The sequence below is a fragment of the Homo sapiens genome, chromosome 13 (assembly GCF_000001405.40).
Source record: "Homo sapiens chromosome 13, GRCh38.p14 Primary Assembly".
In the NCBI taxonomy this organism is placed as follows: Eukaryota; Metazoa; Chordata; class Mammalia; order Primates; family Hominidae; genus Homo; species Homo sapiens.
Window position 1 is genome coordinate 35228444 of NC_000013.11, and position 13659 is coordinate 35242102.

Below are 13659 nucleotides of genomic sequence, written 5' to 3' on the forward strand. Positions count from 1 at the left end.
GTTGTGAAGTCTGGGCTTTTAGTGTATTCATCACCTGAATAATGTACATGATACCCATTAAGTAATTTCTTACCTCTCGCTCCCACCTTCCACCCTCCAGCCTTTCCAAGTCACCAGCCTCCAGTGTCTATCATTCCATATTCTATGTCCATGTGTATACATCATTTAGCGCCCACTTATAAGTGAGAACATGTGGTATTCGCCTTTCTGTTTGAGTCACTTAAGATAATGGCCTCCTGTTCCAGTAATTTAATTCTTTTTCTTAAGAGTTTACACTTACTATTAAGAAAAATAGCCAAATTCAAAATAGTCATCAATCAAGCATCTTAAACACATCATTAGTGTGACTTAAGGGGAAAAAATAGACTGGGGAGAATAGAATGAGTGGCTTGAAATTGTATGCTTTTCAAACCACACTTGATAAAGTCTGTGGTTAGAGCCCAAGAACTTAACCAAATATTAAGTTATTAGAGTATAAGATTATAAAACTCACTCAGACTGTGCAGGGCAGATTCCCCTACATAGGGAAATACACCTTTGTATTACTTCTGTGCATAAAATGTCTTAGACTAAATGAATAGTTTTTGTTTTTGTTTTCTGTGGCAAAATAGGGGTCTTGCTCTGTTACCCAGGCTAGAGTGTAGTGGCATGATCATAGCTCACTGCAGCCTTGACCTCCTGGGCTCAAGCTATCCTCTTGCCTCAACCTTTTGAGTAGCTAGGATCACAGGCACCCGCCACCACACCTGGCTAATTTTTTAATTTTTTGGTAGAGACAGGGTCTCACCATGTTGCTCAGGCTGGTCTTGAACTCCTGGGCTCAAGCCATTCTCCTTCTTCAGTCTTCCAAAGCGCTGGAATTATAGGTATGAGCCACCATGCCCAGCCTAAATGAATGTTTTTGAATAAATGAAAGTAAACTTTCAGAGAAAACTCAAAAATCACTCTTTAGAATTTTCCCCTAAAGTCAGTATATTATGCCAGTTTTTCTTACAAAAATAATTTGCTGAAGAATACCTGGTTTTATTCTGGTGGCTATATGTTCTTTGTATTTTTATTTTAAGGAGAAAATTTTATTTATTTTTATAGGACTTAAGGGCATGGGCTTTTCTCACATTAACATAGCTTTTAATTTATTTTTTTACATATTAACAGATAGCTGTCTCATGTGTCTTGGAATTGGGGAAAAGGAGTTTTACATTGTGTGTTTCTTTGAGATGAGAATGGAAATAACAAAATGACAATATAGCCACAATATGTCTTTTTTGGTATTTTTTGTAATTAATCCTTATTTTCAGGCGATAAAGGAGGTTCTTAGGCTGAAGTTTATGTTTGTACCATTTTCTTTCAGAATTTAAATTGTGTAACAATGAAGCTAATTTATACAGCATTTACAACCTTCTTTGGAATACATTGTGGGGAATCTGTAAAAAGCAACAACAACAAAAGCTTTCTTCACTATGAAAAATGAGGATGAAGTTTTTCCATTTAGAATATTTTGCTGTTGTAATTCCAGCAGAATTATTTGATAATGGTTTATATACATAAAACTTCTAATCTCTTGCTGAGTAAAATATTATATTCTTTGCCCCCTATTAGAAAATTAAAATTCTCATTGCAGGATGATACGTAAGAGCAACATTTACTATTCTAATAAATTTTATAAGAAAATATTTGCAAAAAAATCTTAATAGGGATTCACTTTCTGAGAAATATCTGTTTTTATCTATTACCCTTTAGTCAAGATAATCGATAATAATGTATATTTATACATACTTACAGAAGTAATCAGTTGCTCGGATTAATTGAAGTTCTATTTTGTATTTAACTTAATCACCAGTAACAGTATTTTTGTAATTCTGAAGCCTCTAAATCACACCGAAATCTGTAAAATAGGGGAGAAAGTTCTCAACCTAGGATAAAAAATGTTCCTGGCTTTAACTCAATAATAGTACATTAAATCCAATAGCTATGATGCAACCCTCCATTAATCAATAATTTTTATAATTTTACTCTCACTTATTAATCTTAAATAAAAATAATCATACTTCATTTATAATTGAGCATCAGAAACTATTATATCTAGATTTTTCTCCTTTTAATAAACTCACTCTTACCATTCTTACCATTTCTTAGTAGAGGGAATTAGTTTAGCTGGGAAGAGCTGTAGGACATGATTCTAGAGATTTGAAGGAATTAATGAAATTGTAGATTCAAAAAAGAATCTCTTTGTATTCACTAACAGGTAACTTACTGTGATTATGCTTATTCGGTGACTTCAGGTAGCCTTTCTTTTGCTTGCTTCTTTGTTAATTCTTTCTAATAGTAAATACTCTCATTAAAACAGTCATTCTCAAAGTGTGTTTCCTGGATCAGCAGCATCAACACCACTGACTGAGAATTTGTACTTCTAACAAATGCTTGCCGTACACACAGACCTGCTGAATCAGAGACTAGGGTGGGGCTCAGCAGTCTGGTTATACAGACTCTCCAGATAATTCTGATCCACATTAAAGCTTGAGAACCAGTGTCTTCAGGAGGTCCTTGCTTTAGGAATTACAGAGTAGGGGAGACTATTGAAATCTCTTAATTTCAGTAAGTCTGCCAAATCCCCTTCAAATCCCTTTTTCTTACGGGAAAATGTTCCTCCAGAATTTTCTAAATATATGTGGCAGTGATCAAACTTGAGTTTTCTCCATGGTTTCTCCTTTCTCTAGAGCTGTTGACACGGGTAAGAGGAGACAGAGTTAAACAGAAGTGCTGATGGTGATACTTAGAGTGCTCAAAGATTTGAAACTTGGCTGTTTCCAATTTAGGAAAGAAGTCATCCGATATTATTCTCTAATAGCTATTTAATTGCTTAAAAAATTTAAAAAGAGGCCATAGTTTAGTTTTAAACCTTAGTAATATATTGCAAATTATTTTATGGTTAATTACCTTTTTTTCATTTATAAATTTTTGCCTCATGTGTAACAAAATGTTACCTGGCATTGTGGCAGACCTTGTATTATTTTGTAACATTGTTTAATTGCTAACTGTACATATCGTCTGTGTAGAAGAATGTGTACTCATCTAATATATTGACTTTGGTTTGTTTAATGTATCAGAATCACATTTTGTGAGTGTAAATATGGGTGTGTTCAAAGTAGAGCAAAAAAGTGAACATTATTGACCTCTCACTGTGTGCTGGGTGCTTTTCTGTGCACTTTATATCCCTTAGCTTGTTTAATCCTCACTGGGTAGGTACTGCAATCATCTTCATTTTGCAGACATAGAAAGCCTAATGTGCCTAAGGTCACCTAGCTAGTATATGATAGAGCCAGGATTCTAGTCTAAGCAGTCTTACTCCAAAGCACTTTTATCTAAGACAGATAAATCTGTTACTATGTTATTCATTTGTCTAAGCAGAAATATTTTCCTCCTCCCCATTTTTTACTTTTACATGTACCAAAGTATTTTTAAGAATGTCAAGTAGTGCTTATGTATGGCTATTAACTTAAAATTCAACAGTGAACTATATAATAATACAGCAGTTTGTAAAGAAAAGTAAATAGGCTTATGAAATGGAAAATGCCTACTTTGGCAAAGCATTCAACTGTATTACAACGAATTTCAGTTATTCCCTTATTTGTCCAGATTTCAGGTAATACCTCCTTGAGAGCAAGAATTAAATTATTTGTAACTGGCACAGGGACCCACATTGTCAGTGTTCCAGATCATTTTCTTTGATGGATAGATACATAGAGAAGGCATACAAAAACTCATTTACATGACGCTCATAGAGCGGTGGACAGTCTTTGGCCCTTTCGGGTGGCATAACCCCAATTCTTTTTCATAGTATAGTCATTGCAATTTAGCTGAAACCTTTCAGTAGCCTTATGACTGTTTGTGAAACTGTACAGGGTATCCCTTATACATGAAGCTTGTTATTATTCCATGGGCTAGAAAGGACATTTATGATTTTTAAATATTTTAATTTAGAAGTAAAGTTTATTTGACATTTTATATTGAATTATATTTATTAGTTTTTATGTCTTAATTTCAACAGCATCACTGCAAAACTTGAAAGAGCGTTAGAAAAAGTTGCTCCTCTTCTTCGTGAAATTTTTGTAGACTTTGCCCCATTCCTATCTCGTACACTTCTTGGCAGTCATGGACAAGAGCTATTGATAGAAGGTATGATTTCTCTATTATAATTATTTTAGTTTCCTATAATGTATGTATTAATCATGGCATAATTTGTGCTTCTGGAGGAATATATATTTCCAAAAGAATGTAAAGGCATTACTTCACAAATTCTAATAAGATATTCAATATGTTTTCTCTTCACTCATTTTTTTTAAATAACATGTTTGCATGGTCAATGCCAGTAAGAAAACTTTGAAGATGAAGAACGTTGAAAAGGTGTCAGAATGGGAGGCTTTGGCTCTTTAATCCATCTATCAGGGCTGATGTATATCCTGTCATTAAGATAACCTGTTTATTAAGCAGTGATCTCTGAAATTTCCTTCTGACTCTGAGAGCCATGCACCTTTAAGTGATTTTTCTTATTCACATAACATTTGTAGTGTGGGAATCCTTAACTAAGAAGACATTAAAAATCTAGAGAAATACTTAACAAAGAATTGATGAACCCATTGTCTCCTCAACAGCAGCTTACATACAGTAAGGAGGCAAAGGAGAAAAATTTACAAGGAGAGTGGCTTTGAAAAATATGGTTAATCAAAATCGTATTTCTTTTTAAAAAGTTTTGTTTTATGAATATTTCTGAGCTTCAGAAAGAATTAGATAATATCAAGATGATCTGTAGGTGAATAATGGCTTTAGATGCTGTTTCAGGTAGTCCTGGGATTTAGCATCCTTGTATATCTTTTTTGCTTTTCACTTCCTGTTTACTGTAGAAGAAAGAGAGTTTTCCTGTGCCTGTTCTGTTATTGTCCCAACTGCTTCTACACAGTGTTTCTATTAGGAAGACTGTGATAGTTAATGACTCGGCATCTGGGAGCTGACTTTGAATCCTAGTTCAACTACTTTCTTAGCTTTGTGGCCTTTGTGAATTACTTAGCCACTTTGTATCTTAGTTTCCTTTCTATAAATTGGAGTCAGTGATACAGCACTTTAGGGTTCTTGTGAAGATTAAATTATGCAAGGCATTTGAAGCTCTTAGAATATTGTCACATAATGAGCTTCTCAGGTTTCCAAAAGTACTGAGTTCCTTCTGGGCTAGGTACTATGTTACATAGTTTTGATATATTAGTAAACAGACAAAGACGCTTTTCTTCAGATGGAGCATATATTCTAACAAGGACACAAAATCAATAAGCATTAAACAAAATGAATAATTAAATTACATAGCATGCTAGAAGATAGTGAATGTTATGTAAAAGGATAAATACAACACAGAGAATTGGGATTACAGAATGACAAGGTTAGGCTGAAGTTTAAAGAGAGTGGTCAATTTTAAATAGGCCTCATGGTAAAAGTTACATTTGAGCAAAACCTTACATAATAAGTAATAAAACTTACTTAATAAGTGCCATACAGCTTATTAGATGAGGAGTGTTCTATGCAGAGAGAATAGTCAGTACATTGGCCCTAAAATGATAGAAAGATGTTCTTGGTATGATCTACCAACAGCAAAAATGCCAGTCTCATGTGAACCAGAAGGACAGTAGTCGAATATTAGGGCCAGAGAGGTAATGGGTTCTTTGGCTTTAACTAGTGTGTTGTAGGGAGGCTGCTGATGTTTTAAGTAGGGCTGTCACCCTGGATGCTACTATTGTCATTATTATACTCCCACCTACAAAGTGAAGTATAAAATGCTCTGAAGAATTGGATTCTGAGAAGAACCATGCTAATTCAAAGCAGCCGCAAAATGAACTTTAAAAGTTCTTGGAAGCTTAAAAACTATTGCTTGGCCGCAGATTGTGTGTGTAATTTAAATAGCTTTGTTCTAGATGTGTATGATTGACTACACAAAATCATGTATTCATTGATTCATTCAAAACAGAAGAAATATTCCTCATGGAGTTTGCAGTCTAATGAGCAAAGAGACATAAAAACCAATAATTAAAATTAAATAGGATATGTGCTATAATGAAAGTATATACAAAGGTACAGTGGGAAATGAGACTAGATGGCCTACTGACCACTTGCAGGGCACATATTCTTCTAACTGGGTCAGTGAGGTAGTTGTGTATACCTGGTCTTACTCCTGCTGCCATAAAGCCACTTCCTCATCTTTATGAGGACACAGGTTTGAAAGGGTTATGTTCCCTGCTTCTACCTAACTCCTGTAACAGCTCAACCCAGTCTTCTGAATTCCAGACATAGTTGAAGTTACCTAGCATAGACATCTAAAGCCATATACTCCAGGGATACCTCAAACTCTGTTTATCCAAAATTTGTTTTCCCTCAATTTACTTTTCCTTCTAAATGTATTTATTTTGTCATTAGCATTACTATTAATGCAAACATTTGAGGTGAAAATTTGATTTTTCTTTAGCTCTTTTCTCCTTCAACTTTAATATTTACAATTACTTCATGAGAATGAATAATTTCCGAAAACAATATTTAGAGGATAGTTCTTCAAATATTATTAACATTACAAATATTATATCAAGCCATGTATAAAAACCTTCCAAAGTAGCCTAAATATTATGTTAGCTAAAAGTGGTGGCATCATAGTTACGGATTCTAAAAGGTACTAGGTTATCAGTTGGTCCTTCTTGAGTTCCTTTTTTTGCTTTTAATTCTTTTGATTTCCTGTAGTTAGATGCTATTGAGGAGCAAGAATGCTGGTTATTGATATTTTTATTTTCATGCTTTTCTGTAACATGTGTTACTTTATTAAAATAAAGAAGTTCAGTAAACATCATTGAAAAAACAAATCTTAAATGTTTCCTCATTCCCTACAAGATAAAAGCCTTTTATTTTTTCTGTTGCTATCTATCTTTTCCTAAAATGATTTGATAGGTTTTACAGAAATGTATAAATACTGACCAAAGACATAATAAAATAAAACAGGGAATAAAGTTAGTCTTGTAATAATAATGTTAGTAGTGAGTCCTGCAATGTTATTAAAACTAAGACAAATTCTGTGCAAGTTTTCTAGCCGCCAGAGCAAAGGCACAATTATGTTGTTATAAGACTCACGTTACTGGCTCCTAAGTGATAGTCTGTGGCAATTTTATGTTAACTGCTCTGTATTGGAAAATCAGGAACCCCTGTGTGTAGTTATTTCCCAGAATCTTCCATGACCACACATTCACATTGTTTCTTACTTATTTCTTCTCATCAATGCACAGAGAAAAATGATTGAGTAATTGAGAGTTATTTTTTTTAGCTTCTCTGTTTACCTCACATATTCTGAATTGAGTGGAAAGACCATTAAGAACATGCCTTCATTGTTATCAGTGCATCCAGGTGAACCTGGATTTTTTTTTAATGTAACTATGCTAGAAATGAAATACTGGAACGGGTTAGATATTAAAAAGTTCATTTTGTGTTCCCCTGGCAGTATACAATTATATCTTGTAACTTTCTACATTCAAAGAATTTTAATACATCCTACTTTTTAAACTATATGGATGTAATATTTATGTCTTTCTTTGCTGATGTTTAAAATGACTTCTCTTTATAAAATGATGACAGCAAATGGTAGATTTTTAGGTTTTGAGTTTTGCTTTTTAAATGCCAGTGACTTGGCAGTATAAAAAGCTGACAACCCTAAAATATGATCCTTTAAATTTTTGCTAGTTCATACAACCCAGAACTCTGGAAACTATAGTTGTTTAAAAGAATGACTTTCAGTATCCCTCACAATTTGGTCATAACCCTCCCTTCCAGACCCAACTAGTCTTTATCTTCTTGCTATAAAAAAACATTTCTTAAACATGTAAAGAAGTTACATACTATCACATTTCCTTGTTTTTGTACAGCTCTTCTTTCTGCATTTAATCCTTTTTGTTTTGTTTTGTTTTGTTTTGTTTTGTTTTGTTTTGTTTTGTTTTGTTTTGTTTGAGACGGAGTCTTGCTCTGTCGCCCAGGCTGGAGTGTAGTGGCACTATCTTGGCTCACTGCAAGCTCCGCCTTCTGGGTTCACGCCATTCTCCTGCCTCAGCCTCCCAAGTAGCTGGGACTGCAGGTGCCTGCCACCACGCCCAGATATATATTTTTTTTTTTTTGTATTTTTAGTAGAGATGGGGTTTCACTGTGTTAGCCAGGATGGTCTCAATCTCCTGACCTCATGATCCGCCCGCCTCGGCCTCCCAGAGTGCTGGGATTACAGCCATGAGCCACCCCGCCCGGCCTAAACCCTTTTTTTTTTTAAATCTCCCCAAATTATACTCATCCTTTGAGTCCATTTTCAGGCTCATTAAGCAAATTAATGTCATGACTTATGTGCTCCTACAGTATTTTACTTACATAATATTAATAAAATTATTTTACACTTATTGAAATAGGAAATATCTTATTGTTTATATTGTCATTACCTAACTTAGACTCTGGTACATCATAAATATTCAGTGTTTTTCCCTTGTGTTTGCATAGGATATTATTTTTCTTTCTTGGGAGGCGAAAGCAGATGTATTGCTTGAGGCCAGGAGTTTAAGACCAGCCTGGGAAACATAGTTAGACCCTGTCCCTAGAAAAAATAAAAAATTACTCAGGCCTGGTGACATGTGCCTATAGTCCCAGCTACTCTGGAGGCTGAGGTGGGAGGATTGCTTGAGTGGGAGATTGAGGCTGCAGTGAGCCACGATCGTACCACTGCACTCCAGCCTGGGCACCGGAGACCCTGTCGCTAAAAAGAAAATAAGGAAGGATTGGTAAGATTTTATGTTCTGTGGTAAGAACTCCTGGTATTGATCAGTTCTTCAGACCTAGGAGTTTGCTGCTGCACTCATCCAAGGTCCATACTTGCTCTCCACCCCAGCCTGTAGAAATGTATGTCCTTTTATTTTCTCATTCTTGAGCATGTACTCTTACTCATTCTTTGTTCTTCGCTCTCCTTCTGTTTCCCTTCTTTCTCTAATTTGATATGCTTTTCCTTTCCCTTGAGAAGAAAATGTATCAAAGCATTATGAAGAACTCAGGACATTTACATGATAAAAACATATTTACCCTAGCTTTGAATATTTCCATTTAAGAAATAGTGCTTATGATGAATAAATCTCACTGCATTTCAATTTACCATATAAATATGTGTGTGTGTGGTAGGAACAAAACTGAATTTAGGTAACTGAAGATACTTTAATGTCTATGAAAAGAAAAAGCAATTACTCTTTTAACTTCAAATAGCCATAAAGTATATTTGAATTGCCTCTTTATTTTATGTTTTATATTCCATTTTTCTTAAGGCACACATTTATTTTTGTTTAAATTATTTCTTATGGGATAATTAATCCTTGGCAGTTTTTATTGTCGGTGTCCTTTCATTTTCTTAATTATCTATTACTTTGATTAGTTAGCTTGTGATTGTATCATTCTAGAACAATGTAGTTCACCTTTTAAGACCATTCATTAACAGTAGCTATTTTTAGGTAGCTTTTGATGTGTGTTTTCTCTTAGCAATAATTAAGGATTTTTGAAGACAGTAATTTGAAGCTTACTGAATTTTAAGAAAATTATGGGTTTTCAATTTATAAACTAATGCATAAAAACTACTTAGAATAGGTATGTATGCAAGTATCAAAACCTACCAGCCAAAGATAACAAAGCTGCCTAAGAATCCAGTTTATGTTCTGTGAGCATTGTTTATGTTCTATTGGGAGCTCACAGAAATATTCAGAGTAACTTAGTTATGATGCGGATATAGCAGAAAGTCTCATATGTGTCCAAGGACAGGAAATAAAATATAGTTGATCTTCAGGCAGCCTGGAAATGGGAGAGAAAAGTCAGTAACAAAGACTACTCCCTTTGATTCGCAAAGCAACTTTATAGCCTCCTGTCTTTTATTCTCTCTGTGTATCTACTCAGTGTTTTTACTTTCCTCCCAGACCAACTTCTCTTGCTTAGTCATCAGAACATCTCTTAGCATAGCACCTTAGCCCTGAATCTTAATGCATTTTTAATGTAAATATCCTGCATCATCTAACTATAGTCACTTAACTTATCAACAGAGAATCTGAATGGCTTAGCCAGGCCTATTACTTTGTTCCTCCTGGGTTAGGTGTCTGACCCTGTCATAATCAGCTAAGCCTGAGGTGGGATAGAGGTGTCTGAGATACATGAGGCTCTCCCTTTTAGGCTCTATATACAAGTTGAAACATTTTAGAAAGAGATGTTAGCAGTGCAGGAAATTTCACTGAAGGGTCCACTCTACTTTTGGTGGCATCAATAAATATTTTATTAAAATCATATAATACTCAAGAATATTTATGGTTTCCACGACTAGCATTTTTTAAAAGTATATAAATATAGCATGAAATTTCTACCTTCACCAAAGAGGATATCACTGACATATTCTAAAATGAATGAGCCTAGTCAAGAAGCTCCATATCATTCACAGATCATTTGTAGTAGCATTATAGGCACATAATCAGAAAAACTTGCCGTATTTTTATTTAAAAATTATAGACTAAAATATAATTTCAGAATTATTGTTTTTAAATTACAATAATACAAAAAAATGTACACAAGAAAATTGGGTAAATGGAAAATGCTGGCATAATTTTTAAATATTCCTGATTTCCTCCATAAAAAATGGATGGAAGAATAGATAATGAAACAATAACTACAAGAACAATGAATGGACATTTACAACAAAACTAGGTGACAGGTATCTCATTGGACCCCAAAATATGCCTAGGTGGGGACCATCTAGCTTATAGCTACATGATATACATGATATCAGCTTATTTGTGGCAAGGACTCATGGTGGCCATCAAATATAGATCTATTTGGAGAATTAACTAAATGAGGGTTATATAGGAGAAATTAAAGGATATGACTGCTTATTCTGAAAAATTTGAAAAATGGGGCAGTAATTATGTTGGTAGTAATATTATCGATATTACAAAACTGTTATGTAATGTTGGATAAAGCTGCTTGGTAATTATTAATATTCTAATTATTTTATCCCGTGTTCTTGAAAATCAGGATTCTGGCTGAAGAAAGGCGATCCAGATATAAAATAGGAGAGTTTAAGTAAAAGCTTTTAATTTGGAATTTGAATTGGACATTTTCATGTAAACTTATGCATACATATGCATGTACATGCACACATACACGCATACCCATATTCTATAGGTATATGTATACTATACTAGTAGCCCTGTCTGTTGTTTTGCCTGGACACAAAAACCAAGTCAGTAGCAGTGAGTACACTTAGGGTCCATATTTACTATTAAAATATCATTTGCCAATGAAAGAAACTGGGACTTTATCATAGAGAAATAAGTGATGTCAAGGCTGGGGCAGGAAATATTAATCATTTACCTGCAACATTTTGTGATACCACAAAGCAAGGAAGGTATCAAATGTTGTCAGAAGAGCTCAGGAGCTAACTTAAAGAAATTCCTGTTGTCCCAAGATGGAGCAGTTTGAGCATCCATAAATCTATTAGGTTGGTGCAAAAGTAATTGCGATTTTATTAGCAATTGGCAAAAATCGCAATTACTTTTGCACCAACCAATAATAACTGCAATGCATTGAAACACCTGGATATGTTTAAATCTATGTATTCGTAATGATAATTTAGAAAATGATTTTGTCAAATTTAGAGAATGATAGAGAACTTACTTTGAAAACTGATAAGAAAATTAAAAGAATAAAGTATTTCTTATGTCCTTTCTTTGTGAACGGATCATTGTATTATGAAGTTATTGAGGGGGGATGTTTTGTTTTTACAAAAATATATCATCTGATAAATAGTGGTGGGATATGTGAGTTAGATTATCGTTTAGCACCCTTTAAGAATTTAATAGATCTAAGCTTCAATGGCTGCTAAACTCACAAATAGAGAGACAGCTAGACAATTAGATAGGAAAAATACCATCACCTATCAAGACGGTATGTATGAATGAATGAATAAAATAAAAGCACACCTGATTAAATCTGTATATTCAACGTGTTGAATTATACCATGGGAACTCAATAATCAAAATTAATACTGGAGGAAATTCTGCAATACAAATTGAGTTGGTCTCTTCAAAATAAATTACATGGGGAAAAGAGATATAGGAAGAACCTGTAGCTTAAAAGAGATTTTTTTTTAATTTCAAAAATCACCAAAACTAAGTTGTTTGTAGAAATAACTCTATGATTTAGGTATTAAAAACTATAATCAAAGGCAAAGTGATTATCATAAAAATCAGAATAATGGTTTGTTATAAGTAGGGAGAGGGTTAGAATGGGAAACATGGAGTACTCCTGGGATACGTGGTAATAATTTATTTCTTTAGCTATTTAGTGGTTGCAAGGATGTTCACTTCATAATAGTTTATTAACTGATGTTTTCTGCAGTTTACTTATTAATATTTTGTAATAAAATATTTTAATGTTCTCTGGAGAAGATATAAAAATTCTTGAATGACGTTAAAGACCTAAATAATGGTGAACTATATCATATTCATGGTAGGAAAACTCATCACAAAAAAGTTATTTCAGTCCATGTTAATATATCAATTTTAATAAAAATTTGATTTAAAATAATTTTTAAATTATTTTCATGGAATTTAATAAGCTTTATCTTAAATTTCTGAGCAGAATAAAGGGATGAAAAAATCGAGTAATTTTGGAAATTAACAAGCTATTATAGTTAAAACAGCATAGCAGTAGCACAGAGATAGATCAGTGTGTCAGAATAAATCTCCAAGAACAGATCCCACATACATATGGTAACATTATGAGACAGAGCTCCATTGTAGACTGGGGAGAAATACGTGAACAGTGGATCTAGATCAATTGGATTCCCTTTTGTTAATTTAAAAGACAAAACAAAGTGGATCTCTTCCTCCCTGAACAAACAAAAGACACTACCACTGTGGTTGAAAATCAAATATCAAATGTTTCAGGAGAAAAAAACATAGGAAAATATCTGTAATACCAAAGGTATTATGTAAACTAGATACAAAAGCGTAAAGTGTAGAGGGTAAAAAAATCACCATATTAAAACTGTTTTGTTTTATCAAAACAACATTAAAAAGTGAAAAGATTGAGAGTAACATGAGCAATATAGTGACTACAAACCTTGAAGTCCTCATTCTCCCAAAGAAAAAATGAATGTACAAAAATACATGGACCAAATTAGTGTTGTTAGAAAGCTAATAAATCAATTAAGATTCATTAGATCAGATAAGATGTTGCAGCAATGAAGTAAACACCTAGCTAAGACAGAGCTACTCAAAACGTTAGGAAATCCATTGCTATTTTGTTTGCCCTTATCCCACACCCTCCTCAACACAGTGCAGCATACATGATAATGAGGAAATTGCTCAGTTCCCAATTACTCCTTTGGGGTGGAAGGGAAAGAATGGAACTTGCTTGCAACATTCTCACTAAAGACTGAGAAGTGACTATATTTTTTAAAAGCCCGAATTTTAACAAAAATAGTACAACGCACTCAAAGAAAGAGAGAAACATAGTTCATGCAAAGGAACAAAACAACTTCCAGAAACCACGTTTAAAGAAATGTCGGCCTCTGACTTCTTTTAA

The 13659-nt window shown here is 33.8% G+C and overlaps 1 protein-coding gene across 13 annotated transcripts in view; it reads left to right on the forward strand.

The window, feature by feature from the left end:
- NBEA (neurobeachin) overlaps nt 1–13659 on the forward strand; it is a 730467-nt gene that overhangs the window by 286174 nt on the left and 430634 nt on the right. For all 13 annotated transcript variants that reach the window (XM_047430271.1, NM_001385012.1, XM_006719803.4 and 10 more), the window contains one exon: nt 4049–4176. In XM_047430271.1, coding sequence (XP_047286227.1) covers nt 4049–4176 — 128 coding nt within the window. The remainder of the gene's footprint in view (nt 1–4048; nt 4177–13659) is intronic.